The sequence below is a fragment of the Homo sapiens genome, chromosome 1 (assembly GCF_000001405.40).
Source record: "Homo sapiens chromosome 1, GRCh38.p14 Primary Assembly".
In the NCBI taxonomy this organism is placed as follows: Eukaryota; Metazoa; Chordata; class Mammalia; order Primates; family Hominidae; genus Homo; species Homo sapiens.
Genome location: NC_000001.11, coordinates 51332553 through 51352865, shown reverse-complemented (window position 1 = coordinate 51352865; position 20313 = coordinate 51332553). Strand labels below are relative to the sequence as shown.

Genomic DNA, 20313 nt, shown 5'->3' with positions numbered 1-20313 from the left:
CATCCAGCTGATGAGAAGATGAGCCAGGAACTGAACCTGGTCTGTCTAGTCCTAAGTGTGATACTCTCAGTTTACCATGCTTTGTTTTATTTTGTGTGAAAAAAAAATTTACTTATAGGAAATGGTAGGAACAGGACATCATAAATAACAATAAATAACATTTATTAAGCTCCAGGCATGATCCTAAATGCTTTACTATTAATTTATTTAATCCTCACAATAGTAACCATGAAAGGTACAGGTACTATTATCTTCTCCATTTTACAGAGGAGGAACCCAAACTAGGCCACAGTTATGCAGCTAGTAAGTGGTAGAGCTGGAATTTGAACCTAGGAGATGGGCTCCAGAGTTTTAACCACTACTCTGTATTCCTGTTAATGATGAGTAGTCAGAGGAGCAGTGTCACAAAAGAAATAATCCATGTAATCACTGTTCTTGAGGATTAATGGAATAAACCTATATTATACATGGCATCTTATAAAACATTTTCCCATTCATTCTTGTATTTAACTCGTATGAGGGTTTAGAACAGTTTCTGACACATGAAAGCACTTACGATTATTAGTGTTATCATAAGTGATAAGTATATGGGGGGAGTAGCCAGCCTTGCTTTTAGTTTTTCTTTTTTTGTAGAGACAGAGTCACATTCTGTTGCCCAGGCTAGAGTGCAGTGGCACAGTCATAGCTCACTGTAACTGTGAACTCCTGAGCTCAAGGGATCCTCCCGCCTCAGCCACCCAAGTAGCTAGGACTATAAGTGCATGCCACTGGACCTAGTTAGTTATTTAGTAGAAATAGAGGTCTCACTGTGTTGCCCAGGCTGGCCTTGAACTCAAGTGATACTCCCTCCTCAACCACCCAAAGTGCTGGGATTATGGCTCAGCCCAACCTTGTTTTAAATACAAGATTTAAAACCAAAAGGCTAGAAAAAATGAAAACTAATTTATCAGTACTGACAAGGCTCTGGCAAGAGTACATAAAAAGGGAGGCAAAGTAAGTTGTGAAGAGTTTGAAGTAGCTCAGTGTGACTAGAGTGTAGGTTTGTGAGCAAAAGACTGAGGTGTTTGTGTTTATAAGAAATATCTCATTGGTGGTGATTTGGGGAATTGCCTTAGAAGAAAATCAGGTAAGGCAGGGAGAGCAGGTGGAAGATTGTTGCAGTCATGCAGGTGAGATGGTAAGAACTGAAAATGTGGTTGTGGCTGGGACTGAGAGAAGGGGACCAATTTGAGAAAGATTTAGGAGAATTAACAGGCCTTGAGGTCTGATTAGATGTAGGTGGTAAGGGGAAAGGAGTACACAAAATGTAGCAAGCAATAGGATCACCTGGAGGGCGTATCAAACTACAGATTGCTGTACTCTAGCCCCAGAATTTCTGATTCAGTAGGTTGTAGAGTTGGACCCCCAAATTTACATTTCTAACAGGTTCCCAGGTGATGGTGATGTTGACTCAGGGGCCTCACTTTGAGAACCACTAGAGTAGATGATAACTAAGTCTCTTTTGTTAGCAAGTTTTATTAAGTCCATTCATTTACTCTGCAGTGCTGTTGCAGAGTACCTTGTCATTCTATACTTGACCTGTGGATTCTGCTTCTTGGTAACATCTAATCTTTCTTATGGATAGACACTTTTTGAAAATAATAATTGCAGGCTGGGCATGGTGGCTCATGCCTGTAATCCCAGGACTTTGGGAGGCCGAGGTGGGCAGATCACTTGAGGCCAGGAGTTTGAGACCAGCCTGGCCAACGTGGTGAAACCCCGGCTCTACTAAAAATACAAAAATTAGCTGGGCATGTTGGTGCATGCCTGTAGTCCCAGCTACACTCGGGAGGCTGAGGCAGGAGAATCACTTGAACCCTGGAGATGGAGGCTGCAGTGAGCCAAGACCACGCCACTGCACTCCAAACCTGGGTGACAGTGAGACTCTCTCTCCAAAAATAAAAATAATAATTGCAAGTTAGCACTTATATAGTACTTAGTGCCCAGTACTATTTAAAGTACTTTATATATACTGATTCATTTAACCTCCATAACATGCTTTTAAGTTAGGTACTGTTATTCCCAGTTTACAGATGAGAAGGCTGAGAAGTACAAGAGGTTAAATAACTTGTCCAAGATCACTGAGCTAAAAAGCACCAGAGCTAGGATTCAAACCCAGGTCCAGGCAGTCGGCTGAGCATGGTGGCTCATGCCTGTAATTCTAGCACTTTGGGAGGCCAAGGCGGGTGGATCACCTGAGGTCAGGAGTTCCAGACCAGCCTAGCCAATGTGGCGAAACTCCGTCTCTACTAAAAATACAAAAAAAATTAACTGGGCATGGTGGCGAGCGCCTGTAATCCCAGCTACTTGGGAGGCTGAGGCAGGAGAATCGCTTGAACCAGGTGTGGGGGGTGGGTGGGGTGGAGGTTGCAGTGAGCCGAGATCACGCCACTTCACTCCAGCCTGGGCAAAAGAGCGAAACTCCGTCTCAAAAACCCCAAAAAACCCAGGCATTCTGACTTGAAAATCCGTGTTCAATTACTCTGTTCTGCTGGAAAAAAAAAATACATTAAGATACTTTTTTTCTTGTATGCATGGATCTATGATGTACCTTTTACTTCCAGAAAGGTCTCTATTGTCTTAGTTTTGAAAATGCACAGTGAAAAAGTCATTATTCTATTGACCTTTGCTAAGAACTGTTGCGTGGGCCAGGGACAGAGAAGACTCATATGAGGGCCTTGCCATTAGTGGTATAGTAGGAAAGATAGGCATCTACTTACATAATTTCACAGCATTGCGTACTGAGGATACTGTAGGAGTGCTGGGATGCCCAGAGCAGGGAGAGAATAGTTCTAGCTGAGAGGATTGGGGAAGTCTTCCCAGAGGAGGTGTCCCCAGAAGATAGTATTCTGTTCCTTACTAGCATTACTAAAAAACACACATGGTGACAGTTGGAATTTTTTGTTAAAAACACAGCTCTCACAAGGCCGCATCATTTGATGTTAGGGCTGTGTTCACTGGAAAAGGCCAGCAGTCTCCTAGGAGGCCTCATTTAAGTAGCATTCATTACTTGAGTGAATTAAGCCTGGTCCAACATCTGACCTTCAAGTTTAGAAACCTGATTTTCATCAATAAAACAGAGACAGATCTCTATTAAGAAATTTCACAGGGACTGATAGACCAGAATGTCACTTTCCAGTAAAAATAAAGTTGTCACAGGGCTTGGAGTGCCCACAATTGGTTGAACATGACTCCTCCCTTGCTGGTGGTTGGATACCTCCTCTCTCTGAGGCGCCGCTTGATCTTTGCAGCCAGGGATGCCTGGGCCCCTCTCATGGACACGTTTTTCAGATTAATATCTTTAATCAGGTTAGAGTCTGGTTTGGCTGGTCGGGTAACTATAATGCCTCTTTGGGGTGACTTTGCATATCTTTGCTTTGATCCATTATATGTAAATTTTTCAGTATGTTAATGAGCATCATTTTTAAAATCATTAAATAGAATTCATTATTGAATATGTACTGGGTCACAAAATAAAATGTTTGAAAGCCATTTATTTTTTAAAATCTCTCCAGAGGAATGTAAGTCCTAATGTTATGTATCCAGGTGAATGATATAAAAGATTATCTCATGGGAGGGGGGGAATCTACAGAAAGACCCCACCCATTTTTCCTTCCCCACTGCACTAAGTGTATAGAATGTGTGCAGCTGCCTGAGACCTAAGGGCTTAGTTACAGCCTCTCCTTTCTGTTTCCTCTGGAGTCAGAACTTGAAAGGATTGAGTTAGTTTGTGGGAAGGAAAATAAATGGGAAAAAGCTGACACTTACTGGGGACCTTCTCTGAGCCTGGCACTAAGGTCCTTAATATATGTATAATTTATTCTTCATGACTCTTAAATAGAAAATATGAGGTATAGAGAGATGGAAGCGATTTGGCCAAGAAACCCCAACCTAGGAAAGGTTCACAGCTGGACAAGCCAGGTTCCAGCCCAGGTGCCTCAGCTGTGAGACTTACTCTTCTACCACACTAGACTGCCTTTTGCTCTCTACGGCTACTTATGCTCTAAGGACTGCCCTTAAGAGCAGGTGTGCAAGACTCAGCAACCTAGGCCCTCATCGAGCACAGTGGAGACCCCACACCCCTCCAAGGCTCTATAAGACACACAGGAGAGACTGAACTGAACTACTTGCTCAGCCTATGGGCCTTTTAATGATGATTGGACTTTTCAGGACTGAGACAACCCTGATTTGTTCTCCTCCAGATTGTGGGCCTCTACATGAGTTGAAGATCCTTCTAGGCACTGTGACATATAGAGACCTGGATGGGGTAGAGGCTGTACTTAATTGAATCAAAACTCTGGACCTAGAATACATAGAAGCAGGTTAGGAGCCCTCCACCCTTGCTCCCTTGTAGCATGCTGCCTTAACCATACACAAGCAAAAGAAAACCCTGATGCATCTCAGCTTCCTGAGCAGGTTCCTGGCCTTGTAGAGGGAATCCAGACCTTGGAGTTTTATAAACATGGGCCTAACTTCTGGTCTTACCATTTCCTAGCTGTGTGTTTTTGGGTAAATCTGTTAACCTCTCTGGTCCTCAGGGATAACAGTTCCCTTGCAGGGTTGTTGCCAGGATTAAAAATGATAGATACAGGTTGGGTGTGGTGGCTCATGCCTGTAATCCCAGAATTTTGGGAGGCCCAGGCAGGAGGATTGCTTGATTCCAGGAGTTCCAGACCAGTCTCGACAACATAGCAACACTTTGTCTCTACCAAAAAAAAAAAAAATTAAAAATTAGCCAGGCATGGTGGCATGCACCTGAAGTCCTAGCTCCTCAGGAGACTGGGGTGGGAGGATCACTTGAAGCCAGGAGTTCGAGGCTGCAGTGAGCTGTGATCACACCACTGCACTCCAGACTGGGCAACAGAGCGAGACACTCTGAAAAAAAAAGATGATGGATACAAAGTCATGGTTTCTGTTACATGGCAGATACACACTAAAAGCTGCCATGCCCATGTTTAAAAAGACAGAAGAGGTAACAATACATTTTCGAAAAATGTGAATCTGAATAAAGGGGATAAACTTCAGTTGTCTTGAAAGTTCATTTATATAGAACACTTCATTGCCCTCTGATTCTGGATAAAACTATCACTATACGAGGTGCAGGTAACACACACTATGTGTCCAGCACTGTTCTGTTTTGCTTGCATTAAATCCTTACAACAACCCTTGTAATAGGTGCTGTTATCCTCATTTTACTGATAAGAAAATGACACAAAGAGGTTGAGTAACTTGCCTGGTTGTGCAGATACCTAGTGGTGGGGCCAAGATTTTAACCTAAGCAGTGTGGCTCCAGTGGAAGGGAGGATGGGAAGAATAAAACTGATTCTACCTTGGGTTTATTACATGATTCAAAATAAGCTTGAAAAAGTGGCTTGTAAATGCTTTGTGCATCTAATAGCTTGCGTGGCAGGAAAACTAGGGCTAGGGTTAAGATATACATTCTCAAGTCGGGCTGTGTGTGTTGAGTCCTAGCTCTGCCACTTAACTAGTTTGTGTGATCTTGAGCAAATTAATTCCTACCTGCCTCACTTTTTCAACTATAAAATTGGGATTGTAAAAGAACATACATGTTAGGATTATTTTGAGGACTAAATGAGTTGGCACATGTGAAGAGTTTAAAATAGTGCCCAAGTAACATAATTCTAAACAGATGAGGAAGAAGAATAAGAAACAAGCCTTGAAGTTTAAGAACCCCGGGATTGAATCCCAGCTCCTGATTTGATCTTAGGAACATTTCTAAACTTCTGACCCAAATATTCTTAAAACAGTTGTCTAGATTAGAGGTAGATACGTAAAGGCTCTCTGCATAGTGCCTGCCATTGGGTAGAAGCTTGATAGGTATTAGCTCCTTCTTTATTTACTCACCATTGAGTACCTACTATGTATAGCAATAGTGCTGAGCTCTGTAGAAGACACATGAGATACTATCTGTACCTTCAGAGAGAAATCTGAAATACCATTGTAAATAACTTATACAAGGATTTTAAAATATGTAATGCTAAATGCTGTGAGAGAGACAAAATGTATCCTCTGAAAACGGAGAGACCGCTCTGATGGGGAGATCCTGGATGGCTTCCTGGAGGAAGTGGTGCTGGCTGTGGGCTGACAGGCTCGGTGAGATTAATCCTCTTAGTAAACTGGGCTCTGGGCCCATAGAAGGTCAGGCTTCTGAGGTCCTGTGGCTCTTCTTGCCTGCGAACCCAGGAGAAAGTTGGCTAAGTGCTCAGTGCTGGCCAAGCTGGACAAGGCTCTGGACTAAGGGGTTTGGGTCCCTGGGCATACTGTAACTGGATTTTCCAGATTTAGAAGCTCTAGCTTTGTGATCAGATAAGCAGTATTCCCCGGCCCTTGTTGATCTGCAAAGACCATGATATGAGTGAAAGGTCATATGTTCTCTGCTGCCTACCAGGGAAGAGTGAGAGAAATTGCCCAGATGGTCCTTAGAGCCTCTGCCCTCTGGGCAGCTTTGCCCAGGGCCTCCCACTCCGTGCTCAGCCCACCCATGGTCCATAGGCAGGGTGGGAGGAAAGCACCAGATTGGGCAGAGAAGCCTGGGTGTAAGACCTGACTTCACAACTTGGTTTCAGGAAAGGTCGTTCACCCCTCTGAACCTGTTTCATCAACTGTAAAATGGGGATGAGTGAGTATGTAACAAGATGCAGATAAATAAGAATTGGTGTAAACTGCCTGGCTCAGGGCTTGACACATGAGAGAACACCTGACATGTGAAAACCAGTCACCACTTATTGGACACGAAATTTGTATTGCACAAGTACCTAGGATACAGACCCAGCCCAAAAGGAAACAAAAATGGGCCTTAGCCACCCTGCCCCTGCCCTGTGTTCAACCCCCACCTTCTCTGATGAGCTAAATCTCCAGGGGTCCCTGAATCCATTCTTCACACTGGAGCTGGAGCAGGCCTTCTCAAATGCCTCCTCACGGTGCTCCCCTGCTCCTTGTCCTTAGTTGGGCCTCCCATAAAAGCCCCTGGACTGCACGCCAGGGGATCCCCTTGCTCCAGAGCTGATTCTGCTTGGTGGTGGTAATTTAAAATAAAAACCAAAAATGTACGCAGCCTAAGATGAAATGTGGGGCTTCAAAGAAAGTTTACACTGGAGATGGGGCGGTGGCTCATTCTCCTCTGTCCCCCGACCTGCCACGGGGTACTGGACTCATAAGTCGGTGAAGTGGGTCACTCCAGGGCCTGGCCTGGCCTGCAGCCTCCACCCTCAGGCCCAGACAGCTGCTCTCCACTTCCCTGCCCATCAGCCCCCTGCTGCTGGTGCTCTGTGCCCAGCATTTGACTCGGTCCCGAGCTTCTGACCCCATTCCGGCGAGGCCCTAGCAAAGCTGGCTCTGTATGTAGGGAGGAGGGAACAGGGTTGGTGGTGCTGCTATGTCCCGCAGGGACCCTGGTAAGGCCATCGTGTGGCCCGTCAGTTTGGAGGCTGGGCTCTGGACCGAGTGGGACCGGCCGCTGGCCCCCTTGTGACCTTGGACAAAGCCTGGAGCTCCGTTTCTCCCGGTGCCCAATGAGGGGTTTCAGAGTGTTTGGGGTCCTTTCTGGTTCTGGGTGGGAGTGGGCTTGCCCAGGGACCTCAGGCCCGCTCTAGGGACACTTAAGCCCTTCCACTTTGGGGCAGGGAGGCGCAGGTCCAGGGCGGGGAGGAGCCACGGGTCCCGCCCTGCCCGCCCCGTCCAGGTGCTGCCACTGTAGCCTCCACGGCCGCCGCCGCCGCCGCGAGGGGCCGCCCGCGGCCCCGTCCGAGCCCGGCCCGCGCCCATGGCCTTTCTGACCACCTGGAAGGAGGCGGCCTCCGGGAAAAGCGACCGCAGGTACCGGGCAGGGGTGGGGACTCGGCGGAAGGCGCGGACGGGACCAAGGGGCCGCCGGAGGACCCAGCCGACGTCGGGGAAACAGCTGAGAGGCACAGCTGGGGAAAGGGTGTGTGGCTGCTGGGCGTGGGGGTCGGCCGGAGGCCCGAGAGGGGCAGCGCCGCGCGCCCCCTGCTCTCTGTCCTCGCCCCCAGCAGGGCGGGAACTGGGGAGGGTAGACGCGGTCCCACCTGAGCGCCGCTCAGTGTCGCAAGACGCGGGCTATCTGCGAAGTCAGCTCGGTGAGAAGGACCTCAGGTGGGGCTGGCGGTCAGGTTTGGGCAGCGGCGTCTGCGCTCAACCCTCCATCCTCTCACCTGGTTCTCCTCAGGTCTGCATGAGCCAAGTGTGGGCACGCTGTGTGCCCGGACAGATGAAGCCAGGGCTCTGTGTGCTTGAGGGGTTGTCCACATCCGAGGAGCAGGTGGGGGAAGTCCTGGGTTCCAGTCCCAGTCCAGGGTGAATTATGTGCACCCCAGCTCCTCCAAGGCGAGCCCTCCAGGGTGTGTCAGCCACCTCCCTAGCTGACCCTACCTCCGGGATAAGTTAGTGCGCCCCAGTTGTGTTCCTGTGAGAGGGGACCACAGCCCTGACCTCTCTTCTGAGGTTCAGCCCTCCCCGCATATTTACATCTTCTGAGGTTCAGCCCTTCCCTTCATATTTACATCTTTAAAGTTCACCCTGCTGTGCCAGGGAAAGGGCAATCCAACTGTCCTCCCAACACCTCCATCTGACTGTCCTATGAACACCTCAAACTTGGCAAGCCCCAAACTTGTTCCTCCTCCGGTGTCCCCGTGTCAGTGAATGGTCATCCACCCAGTTGCCCAAGCCCGAAACCTGGGAGTCATCCCTGACACCTCCCTACCTTTCTCCCACCCCCGTCTACAAGTCCTGTTGATTTTACCTCCCAACTTCTCTCAAAGCTGTTTATTCTCATTGGACTATTGCATCAGGCCCCCTTCCCCAGCTCCTCCTGTCTCTCCCTTTCCACACATCCTTTCTAAAGCACAAACCAGACCAAGCCATTTTCTGCTTTAACACCCTTCCATAGGCTAGGCGTGGTGGCTCATGCCTGTAATCCCAGCGGGAGGATCGCTTGAGCCCAGGAGTTTGAGAGCAGCCTGGGCCACATAGCAAGACCCTATCTCTATATAAATAAAGGAAAAAACATTAAAGAAAATAAAACCCTTCCATGGCTCTCCACCACCCTTTGGTGACTCTCATTCAGCCTTTCAGCACACATTGTTGAGCACTTGTGTGCTGGGCCAGCACTGTACTAGGCACTGCAGGTATGGTGTTACTTCAGATATACAGGTCCTGCTCTTGGCAACCAGGTTCTAGTAAGAGAGACATAAACAAGTAGACAAGTAAACATCAGAAATAGATGCTGGGCGAGGCATACAATAAGGCAATGTTATGCCCAGTAAAATTGGCAGTGCTGAAGCATTGCAGGCAGGATAGCTCACATCAAACCCTGAGCTGTGTCTGAGAAGAAAGGAGGGAGAGTGATGGAAGATCACTGAGACCCAGGAAGCAGGCTGGCCAGAACAAACAGGACCAGGAATTTAGGTTTCACTGTGTGGTGGGAAGCCACTGGAGGGCTTTAGCAGGGCATTTACTTATTTAAAGCTGACCACGCTGTCCTACGGAGAAAGGATTTTTGTGGACAGACGATTTCAATGCTGGATCACTGTCACCTCCTCCTTTTCTGTTTCTCCACTACTTATGGAAAGGAGACAGGGCTCATTTGTCCCCATGTTCCCAGAGCACAGCACATAATGGGGCTCAGAGTGCATTTCAGTTTTGATGAGGACATGGGATGATTTCTGAGGAGCACGAGATCACTTGGCCACATGGCTTTCTTGCCTTCCAGGACCTTCCCTGCCTGGGAGAATCCAGTTGTGCATCGTCCTGTGGGCACCAGGGAGCCTTCGGGGTCTCCCGTGTATGTATGTTACACACCTCTCAGTGTGCAGGGAGAGCAGAGGGGAGGCTGGCGTGGTGGTCCAGGAGAGAGATGCTGGGGTATGGGTTAGGAGAATGGAGGGAATGGGAGGTAGACGCTAAGAAGGAAGAAATGAGAAGCAGTGAATGGACAGGCTGAGGAGAAGGTGTAGGGGTGGCCTCTGGTCAAGCAGAGGCCTCTGCATCCCCCAGTGGGCCTGTGTGAGGAAGTGCATTGTGAGCCTGCACACATGCGCCTTTGTGCTTCAGCTGGAACTTGCTGGGCACAAATACCCAGAGAATTCTTTACTCCCAGTTGACCACACAAGGTCTCACACCCAAGGCTCAAACCTGGGTCTCCATTCTCCCAGCTCAGGCCCTGTGACCGCTCCACCCTCACCCCTCGCCCACCACACCACCCTGTGTCCCACAGCATAGCCAAGGGCAAAGAGTTTGGCAGGGGGGATGGGGATGTGGAGGGGTGCTCAACCCCTGCTCTGCCGCTTACTTACTGGCTCTTTGACATTGATTCATTGTTTGATCTGTGTGAGCCTCAGTTTCCTCAGCTGTAAAATAATAGCTACTCTCTGAGCTGTGGAAAGATCTATTGAAGTCATTTGTAAAGGACCTAACAGTCACTGGGGCATATTCGGTGTTCACTTCTTTCTCGGTACTGTTATGAGGTAATCTTCCTTCCAGGGTATTTGCATTGAGCAGAGGGGATTCTGAAAGGCTTCAGAGTCAATGGTGGGATTCCAGGCACCAGGATTGGGTAGCTGGGAACTGCTGGGAAAAGGAAAGGGGACTGTTCCTAACGCCCATGCATCTTACAATGGGGACCGCACCCTACTCAGCCTACAAATCAGGCCCTTCTTAGCCATACCATAGCCCCCACTTGTGGTAGGAGACAGCACCAAAAATAAAAGGGGATGTGCAGATGGGCAGATTGCTTTAGAGAGAGTAATTGAGTGGCAGATCTGCTGTGGGAGGGAGGGGCCTCCTCAAGAATGGAGAGGCCCAGCCAAGGAGGCTGGAGGCCTGCTAGGACTGCTGTAGTCAGAATTCCTGCTCTTGGTTTCAGCCTGAGCTGGAGGAGCTCTCAGATGCTTCTAGGTTGGGAGTTTCTAATTTGGTGGCAGGAATCCTTGGGTGGCTTTGAGGTCTCTTCCTTGGGAATGAATTTGGACTTGAGGCCAGTGCTGAGTTTTGACCTCTGTGATTCTCAGATCCTGCAAGTTGAAGCATTTGTGATTCCCAGACTTGTGATTTAAAATTTCAAGGTTTTTTTTGTGTGTGTGTGTGTTGAAGCTTTTAATCCCAGGACTTTACTCTGCCCCCTGTTGCTGAGGGTGATTGTAAGGGGTAGGAGAGGGCTCTAGTGTGAGAGGCACATTGTGGTCCCTCAGATCCTCAATCCCTGGTGACAAGAACTTGAAAGACATTCAAGCAACCTTTGTCCCACTATCAGTTATGGAGGGGTTCAAACTTGGAACATTTAGGTCCTTTTGGGGGTCATTGAGAAATAGATTTGGGTTGCAACTTCAGTTCTGCCAGCACACCACATTTCCTGTAACATCTTCAAATCTGTGATCTGAGGTTGAGTTGCTTTGTCCTTTCCTGAAAATTTCTGCCTCTCAAAGCAGTTTCTGTCTGTGGCCAGCTCCATTCTCTCCTAATGCTCACCTGCTTCTCCACTCAGTACAAGGCATGGCTGTCAGCAGCTTCCAAGCTCAAGTCCTGGGATGGTAAATCAAAGCAGTGAGAAGTACTCTGGGGCCACATAAGCTGGTTTTGTTTTTTTGGTGTGTGTGTGGGCGGGGGGTGGGGGGGCGGTTTATTTTTTGTGAGACAGAGTTTCACTCTTGTCGCCCAGGCTGGAATGCAATGGTGCGATCTCGGCTCACTGCAACCTCCACCTTCCAGGTTCTCCTGCCTCAGCCTCCCGAGTAGCTGGGATTATAGTCATGCGCCACCACGCCCAGCTAATTTTGTATTTTTAGTAGAGAGGGGGTTTCACCATGTTGGCCAGGCTGGTCTCAAACTCCTGACCTCAAGTGATCCATCAGCCTCGGCCTCCCAAAGTGTTGGGATTATAGGCAAGAGCTACCGCACCCGGCCTTAGGCTGGTTTTGAAGCCTGATTCTGAGACTTTCTAGCAGTATGACTTTGGACAGGCTGTTTAGCTTCTCGTGCCTCAGTTTCCTCATCTGTAAAATGGGGGTAATGTTAGGACTCACCTCCCAGGATTGTTGTGAGGATCGGATGAGTTAGTTTATGTAAAGCACTGCACGGCATGCTGCTATACCAGCGCGAGTGATGATTATAAGAGGAAGGGCTTCACCAGCTTTAGTCTGAAAAAGCTCAGGAGACTACTCTGACTGGTGCTTCCTTCAACCAATCACTGTTCCCTGAGAGGTGGGGTCAAGTAAGAAGAGGCTCCTCACTCAGCCAATGGGCTGGAGAGGAGGGGAGGAGAAAGGGGGCGGTGATGAGGGAGGAGGGCAGCATTTAGCAAATGTGACCACTGAGCAGGCCTTAAAGCTGTAGTTTCATGACATACCCAAATTACGATATATTTGGAGCACCCTGCCCATTCCTCTGAGTCCCCCTGCTGTTTTTCATGCTCTGAGATCTGAAAACTGAAAGGTCCCTCATGGACCCTCTCGGGGCCTGTGCCACCCACCACTCTCCTGAGTTGTGGCCTTGCCAAACACAGCCCTTCTCTCCCTGACTGCCACCACCACCCTGGCCTGGTGGGGGAATGGTCGCTGAGGCACTTTGCTAGATCACCTTTCTTAATTCATTCCCATTCAGGTTGCTATAATGAAATAGCATAAACTGGGTAGCTTATAAACAACAGAAATGTATTTCTCACAGTTCGGGAGGATGGGAAGTCCAAGATCAAGGCAGATTGAGTATCTGATGAGGACCTGCTTTCTGGCTTATAGATGGTGCCTTCTTGCTGTGTCTTCACATGGAGGAAGGGGCGAGGAGTCTCTCTTGAACTTCTTTTATAAGGGCACCAATCCCGCTCTGCACCCATGGCCTAATCACCTCCCAAAGGGCCCACCTCCTAATACCATCACCTTAGACATAAGGATTTCCACATATGAATGTTGGGGGATGCAAACTGTCACTCTATAGCAATCACCCCATGCCATGGGTGGGACAGCCCCTTCCCTTAATTCCCCAGCAGCTCGGCTGAGGCCAGGCTATAACATCTCTATTTATTTATTAATTTATTTTGGTAGAGATGGGGTTTCACCATGTTGCCCAGTCTGGTCTTGAACTCCTGGCCTCAAGTGATCCTCCCACCTCAGCCTCCCAAAGTGCTGGGATTATAGGCATGAGCCACCATGCCTGGCCAGGCTATAACTTTTAAAAACACCTTAGGAAGAAGGGAGTGAGGGACAGATGATTTTATGATGTTATGGCCCTCTCCCCTCAGCCATCCTGGAAGGAGCCTTCCTGTAGAACATCCACTTCTGGGAGGGCCCAATGTGTCTTCCAACATCTTCTTTCCCAGGAAAAAAGAGGAATTTTTCTCTTAGCCCAAGATTCCCAAGGCTTCCTTTCTTATGCTAAGATCGGCTATAAAATAATAAATCAGTCTTTCCCAGGTGATCAGCAGTGCGGAAATCTACCACTTTCAAGTAAAATCCTTCCCCTGCCCTATAAATGGCTGGTCCTTTGCCCCATGACACCCTGCCAAAAGGACAATTATATTAGGACTAGGTGGGACATCAGAGACCCCATCCACGTGGAACTGGGCTAAGACACCCCGTTCCTTTTGGCTCCTTTTCTTCCCATGGGAGTGAAATTTGTTTTGCCTCCTGCAGCCTCAGGTGTTACTCCTTAGCTTCCCTCTTACAGGGTCTGCTCTGACCAGCCCCCACACCCTGCAAGAAGAAGCACTGCAGCCGCTCAATTCATTTCAAGCTAAGATACGTCCTTCCTCAGATACATACAGTAGCTAAATCTCAGGTTGAAAGAAACTGCCAAGTAAATGAGTATGTGGGCAATTGCTTTACATCTGGGTGATTGAAAGGTGTACCAAAGGGCTGACCCTGAGCACAGGACAGGCCACTCAAAGGAGGATAAATCAGGCTGGGTGTAGTGGCTCACACCTGTAATCCCAGCAGTTTGGGAGGCCAAGGCGGGTGGATCACTTGAGGTCAGGAGTTCAAGACCAGCCTGGACAACATGGTGAAACCTTGTCTCTACTAAAAATACAAAAATTAGCCGGGCTTGGTGGTGCGTGCCTGTAATCCCAGCTACTTGGGAGGCTGAGGCGGGAGAATCACTTGAAACTGGGAGGTGGAGGTTGCAGTGAGCCAAGATCGTACCACTACGCTCAGCTTGGACAACAGAGTAAGACTCTGTCTCAAAAAAAAAAAAAAAAAAAAAAAGATAAATCTCCACTCGACAGCGCTGCACTCGGGTGGTCACCCTTCTCCCCTTCTCTCCTCCTTTGCTTGCCACTGCTCCCTCCAAGCCCCAGCTCCTCTCCCCTGAACACCTTCTGAACTTGCCTGCTGCCTCTAGAATGTTCTCTTTCCCTTTCTCTGTGATCTGTAATGCAAGATACCTGCCTTTGACTGTGCCCCAACAGCCAGCATGTGACATGCAGCATCATCTGTAATCCACACAACTCTGACCAGGGAAGCCTTGCTTTCTCCACTTTAATAGAGGAGGAAACTTAGGCGCAAAGAGGTGAAGAGTGTTGCCCTGGATTATAGTGAAGAAGCCAAAATTCAGAGTCAAATATCCTATTCCCAGCAGTATATTGTACTGCCTCCCCCAGAAATGGCTTCAGTATCTCTTCATGCTTCCTAAAATGCATAGATGTCAGGGTTTTCTTTTTAATATTCGGTGGATAATTTTGTGTTCTGCTTTTTTCATATTTTTCCATATTCAAGTAAATTCGTTTAGGCAGCAAGGCTTTTTATTGAGCCAGGCACTGTTCTAGGCACATTAGAGAACAAAACAATAATGCAAAAACAAATTCCTGAAGCTGGGCACAGCCACATGTCCCTAGAGTCTCAGCTACTCAGGAGGATCACTTGAGCCCAGGAGTTCAAGACCAGCCTGGGCGATATAGTGAGACCCCACTCAAAACAAACAAAAGCCCTACCTGTGGAACTTAGTTTAATAGGGAGAGGGAGAATAAATGAATAAGCAAAATAAAAAGATGTCACTTGACAACAAGCGCTGTGGAAAAATAATGCAGGGCAGAAGAACTGGGAGGATGGAGGCAGGGGTTCAATTTTAAATAGAAAGGGGCTGGGCACGGTGGCTCACGCCTGTAATCTCAGCACTTTGGGAGGCTGAGGCGGGCAGATCATCTGAGGTCAGGAGTTCAAGACCAGCCTGGCCAACATGGTGAAATCCAGTCTCTACTAAAAATACAAAAATTAGCTGGGCATGGTGGCGGGCACCTGTAGTCTCAGCTACTTGGGAGGCTGAGGCAGGAGAACCACTTGAACCCGGGAGGCTGAGGTTGCAGTGGGCCGAAGACTGTGCCACTCATTCCAGCCTGGGTGACAGAGTGAGACTCCATCTCAAAAAAAAAAAAAAAAAAAATTAAACAGAATAGTCAGGGAAGGCCTCACGGAGAAGGTGATATTTGAGCTGAGACCCGAAGAAGGTGAAGTAGTGAATCGTGTGAGAAGAGCATTCCAGGCAGACGGAATAGCAAGTCCAAAGGGCCTGAGGTGGGAATGTGCCTGGCATATTTGGAGGTGAGCAAGGAGGCTGGTGTGGCTGAAATAAGAGAGGGAATAAAGGGAAATGATGTCGGGAGATGATGGGAGCATACAGGTTGTGCAGGGCCTCATGAGCCATAGACAGACTAGTTTTTGCACTGAGGAACATGCGGAGCCTTTGCAGGGCTTTGAGCAGAGTTGTGATGTGATCTGGCCTAAGTGTCAAATGGGCCTGGTGCTGTGTGGATAATAGACGGTAGCAGACTATGGTTGTGTGCCACCATGCCCAGCTAAGTTTTTATTTTTTGTAGAGACGGGGGTTTCACTATGTTGCTGAAGCTGGTCTCCAACTTCTGGCCTCAAGCAATTCTCCCGCCTTGGCCTCTCAAAGTGCTGGGATTACAGGCAGATGGAGCCAATTTCTATTGTCACCAGCAGTGTGTCAGGTAGCTCATCTGCCCTGAAGATATGTAGCTCATTTAATCCTTGCAACAACCTAATGAGGTTGGTGCCATCATCATCCCCGTTTCAGAAATGAAGTTACTGGCCCAGGGTGTCAGGTGCAAGCCCTGGCTTTCAAACCTGCTCTCTGAACTATTCTCTAATCGGATGAATTGCTTGGGACTGCCCAGCTAGGACATAGTGGGGCCAGGAGTCCATCCAGATCTTCCTGTCTTTGCATCCCAAGTTCTGACCCCTGAAAGGTTGCCATCAATGCTGGAAACCCCTCATTAGAGCTCTGACCCCTTTTTTCAGTTAGAGCTGTTCTTGGTCCCTTGTGCTAACCCAGGCTCCTTCTTTAGACCTACCTTCAGCAGCTCCTAGAGACCAGACTTAGGTAGAAGAGCCCAGATCCTAGAACAGAGACCCTCAGAGCAGGGAGGGCCCATGAGTTCTTGGCCCAAATTTCTCTCCCCTTTATATCTGGTGGGAAGAGGAAACTGCCCCACAGTGGGGCAGTGACTTGCCAAAGGTCACAGAGCTAGCGGGGGGCAGAGTCCATGCCTGCCCAAGGAGCAGGAATAGATCCTTCCTTAGGGGCCCTTGCCAGAGAATATTTAAGATCTGTCACTGTCACAGCCCTCCAAAGGCCCTTTGTTGACAGGCCTGTTCACTTGTGAATTATTAATGAGCCCAAACCTGTAACCTGTTAGGGTGGGGCTCACTCGCTTTAAGGAAACCTGCTTTACAGTCACCAGTTCAGTGAGAGAGGAAGGGTTCTAGACTCTGAAGAGGGGGTATCTGGGCTGGCAGAGACTGCAGGTGTTGGGGAGGGGGCGCTTCATGCCAGGGAAAGGCCTGGGGGAAGGGGCTGGGAGGGGTGCTGAGAAGGGGGAAGGAGTCACCCAAATAATGCTCAGTAATCTGCACAGCATCCCTGAGAGTTTGGGATTATTATCCCAGGTTTATAGATGGGAAAACTGAGGTTCTGAGAGGTAGAGGCAGAACTGACTTCACAGCTTAAGCTCTTTCTACAACAATGGCATCATGTGTCACTGCTTGCATCCCCCATTTCTATGACCTCTCCCACTTAAAACACCCCTCCTTTCTTCTCTTCTTCCCCCTTTCCCTAGAGAATAAGGAATCAAGACCTGGGTTCGAGCTACGGCTAGATGTTGGTCCAAGCCTCTATTTTCTCATCTGTAGGATGGGAGGTAATGCTATTACAAACTTTCTAGGGCATTCTAAGGGCTCACTTAATAGGTATTTATTAAGGGCTCTTTTTTTTTTTTTTTTTTGTGAGACAAGAGTTTCTCTCTGTCGCCCAGTCTGGAGTGCAATGGTGTGATCTCGGCTCACTGCAAGCTCCACCTCCCGGGTTCAAGTGATTCTCCTGCCTCAGCCTCCTGAGTAGCTGGGATTACAGGTGTCCACCATCACCTCCAGCTATTTTTTTTTTTTTTTTTTGTATTTTTAGTAGAGGTGGGGTTTCACCACGTTGGCCAGGCTGTTCTTGAACTCTTGATCTCAAGTGATCTGCCCGCCTCAGCCTCCCAAAGTGCTGGGATTACAGGCATGAGCCACCGCGCCCGGCCATATTAAGGGCCTTCTTAAGTTGACAATGGCACAGGTGAAAGCAGTCCATGAAGTTCTCAGGGCCATTGAGAGGTGTGGTGACACTGGTGATTTGTTCTTGCACGCTGGGGAGGAAATGAGGGAGGAAAGCAGGCCTGGCATCTCCCAGATGTAACGCACCAGGAAACAGGTCTCCTGACAGGAGGAAGGCATCCAGGACTCAGGATGCTGTCCCATCGCCAGGGCCCAGCTGTCACCTCAAGGTGGGGACACACAGGTGATCCAAGTAAGGTCACTTGAGTTGGGGAGGCAGAAATGATGATGGTGACTCACAGACTCCCCTGTGCTGGGGCTGGGCCAGAGCTCCTGGGGGCCAGGAACGGCCTGGGTGGGGCCCTCCTGAGGGGTGGGCCACTCTGATGCGCTGACTCACCAGGTGACTGGCTCTAGCATCACTGTTCGCTGTGATGGTGTGGGGAGAGTTCCAGCTCTAAAGGCGGCTCTTCTGCTTCCCTTACTGAGCTCATTTTTCATCTGTGAAATGGGGAGGAAAGTAGTGTCTAGTGGTCCACCACAACCATCACTAGGTCATTTATATAGCACTCTGCTATTTTCTTTCTTTTTTTTTTTTTGAGACAGGGTCTCACTCTGTTACCCAGGCTGGAGTGCGGTGGCACCATCATGGCCCACTGCAGCCTCAACCTCCTGGGCTCCATTGATCCTCCTGCCTCAGACTCTGGAGTAGCTGGGACTACGTACCCCATGCCGGGCTTTTTTTTGTTTTAGATGGAGTTTCACTCTTGTTTCCCAGGCTGGCGTGCAATAGTGCGATCTTGGTTCACCGCAACCTCCGCCTCCCGGGTTCAAGCGATTCTTCTGCCTTAGCCTCCCATGTAGCTGGAATTATAGGCATGCACCACCACACCTGGCTAATTTTGTATTTTTAGTGGAGACAGGGTTTCTCTGTGTTGGTCAGGCTGGTCTCGAACTCCTGACCTCAGGTGATCCGCCCACCTCAGCCTCCCAAAGTGCTGGGATTACAGGCATGAGCCACCACAACTGGCCTGGCCTTTTTTTTTTTTTTTTTTTTTGTAGAGACAGGGTCTCACCATGTTGCCCAGGCTGGTCTCAAACTCCTGGGCTCATGCAATCCACCTGCTTTGGCCTCCTAAAGTGCTGGGATTACAGGTGTGAGCCACCATGCTCAGCTTATATATGAATTCTTAATACTCGGAGCAACCTTGGAAGTCGGCAATATTATTTCCATTTTACTGATGAGGAAACTGAGGCTCAGAGAGGTGGTAAAGTGAAAATTAAATAAGATAATCCATGTTATACACTGAACATCATGTGTAGCATGTAAAAAGCCTGTGATGTGTGTCAGCCATTGTTATAATAATAACCTCAGAGGGAAATTGTAAAGTGCTAGGCCCCGCATTAGTGTCTGGTGACTAGTCAGGTACCTGATGTCAGGCCCTGAGACACAGAGATGAACTGGACCAGGCCCTAGCCTCCAGAAGCAGACAGTCACATACAAACCTCACTCTCTGCTCCCCACCACCCCAAACACACATACCACACACAGACAGTGACAGCTCAGGGTGATTAAGGTAGGTCAGAGTGGGTTAGGGCAGTGGGTGCAAAGGGAGCCCCTGACCCATCTATGGAGGGAGGGCTTCCTGGAAGAGGTGACATCTGAACTGAAACCTGCAGGGTTAGGAGGAGTTTTGGCATATGGCAAAATGTCAACAAATGTTGGTCAAATACAGTAAAGGTTTACTCTGGAGCTAATACAGCTTATAGCTTCAGGATTCTTCACTTACCTGGCCCCTGCCAAGGCTCTGGGAGAACCCTGGCAATTTTATACAGGCTGACTATCCCTAACCCAAAATGCTCTGGACCAGAAGTGTTTCAATTTTTGGATTTTCATGGATTTTGGAATATTTGCATATGCATAATGAATTATCTTGGGGATGGGGTCCAAGCCTAAACATGAAATTCATTTGTGTTTCATATACAACTTATACACATAGCCTAATGGTCATTTTTTTTTTTTTTTTTTTTTTGGTGGGGGCGATGGAGTTTTGCTCTTGTTAACCCAGGCTGGAGTGCAATGATGTGATCTCAGCTCACTGCAACCTTCGCCTTCCGGGTTCAAGCGATTCTCCTGCCTCAGCCTCCCGAGTAGCTGAGATTACAGGCGTGCGCCACCATGCCTATCTAATTTTGTATTTTTAGTAGAGATGGGGTTTCTCCATGTTGGTCAGGCTGGTCTCGAACTCTTGACCTCAGGTGATCTGCCTGTCTCAGCCTCCCAAAGTGCTGGGATTACAGGCATGAGCCACCATGCCCAGCCACCTAAAGGTAATTTTATACACAATATTTTTAATAATTTTGTGCATGAAACAAAGTTTGTGTACACTGAACCATCAGAAAGAAGTGTCACTCTCTCAGCCATCCATGTGGACAATCTGTGATTATTTGGCATCATCATCATTTTTGACTCTGAATTTATGTGCTCCCAATAAGCATTTTTTTACCCTTATTCACACATAAGTACTTAACAATAAAAATATAACATACCATTAATGCAGTGAAAAAATAGTGTTCAGGGTAACTCAGCAGCACGTGAGCATCAGTAGAATGCCTGTGTCCGCTGTAACAACAGCACAGCAAACATGGCAGGCCTGCAGTCTCCAACTACAGTGCTCAAAAAGCTTCAAGTTTCAGGCCG

General features: G+C 48.4%; 1 protein-coding gene across 2 annotated transcripts in view, besides 4 other annotated features; it reads left to right on the top strand.

Annotated features, from left to right (window-relative positions):
- Positions 7601-8030: a silencer, noted in NCBI's record as "silent region_876". NCBI's record gives its function as "represses an Ori minimal core promoter by ATAC-STARR-seq in GM12878 lymphoblastoid cells {active_cell/tissue: GM12878}" and the evidence as "EXISTENCE:reporter gene assay evidence [ECO:0000049][PMID:35858748]".
- TTC39A (tetratricopeptide repeat domain 39A) overlaps positions 7750-20313 on the top strand; it is a 57859-nt gene continuing 45295 nt past the window's right edge. For both annotated transcript variants that reach the window (NM_001144832.2, XM_011541048.3), the window contains exon 1: positions 7750-7875. In NM_001144832.2, the coding sequence (NP_001138304.1) occupies positions 7823-7875 (53 nt within the window). In that variant the 5' untranslated portion in view covers positions 7750-7822. The remainder of the gene's footprint in view (positions 7876-20313) is intronic.
- Positions 10322-10401: an enhancer, noted in NCBI's record as "active region_1022". NCBI's record gives its function as "activates an Ori minimal core promoter by ATAC-STARR-seq in GM12878 lymphoblastoid cells {active_cell/tissue: GM12878}" and the evidence as "EXISTENCE:reporter gene assay evidence [ECO:0000049][PMID:35858748]".
- Positions 10762-10821: an enhancer, noted in NCBI's record as "active region_1021". NCBI's record gives its function as "activates an Ori minimal core promoter by ATAC-STARR-seq in GM12878 lymphoblastoid cells {active_cell/tissue: GM12878}" and the evidence as "EXISTENCE:reporter gene assay evidence [ECO:0000049][PMID:35858748]".
- Positions 10872-10921: an enhancer, noted in NCBI's record as "active region_1020". NCBI's record gives its function as "activates an Ori minimal core promoter by ATAC-STARR-seq in GM12878 lymphoblastoid cells {active_cell/tissue: GM12878}" and the evidence as "EXISTENCE:reporter gene assay evidence [ECO:0000049][PMID:35858748]".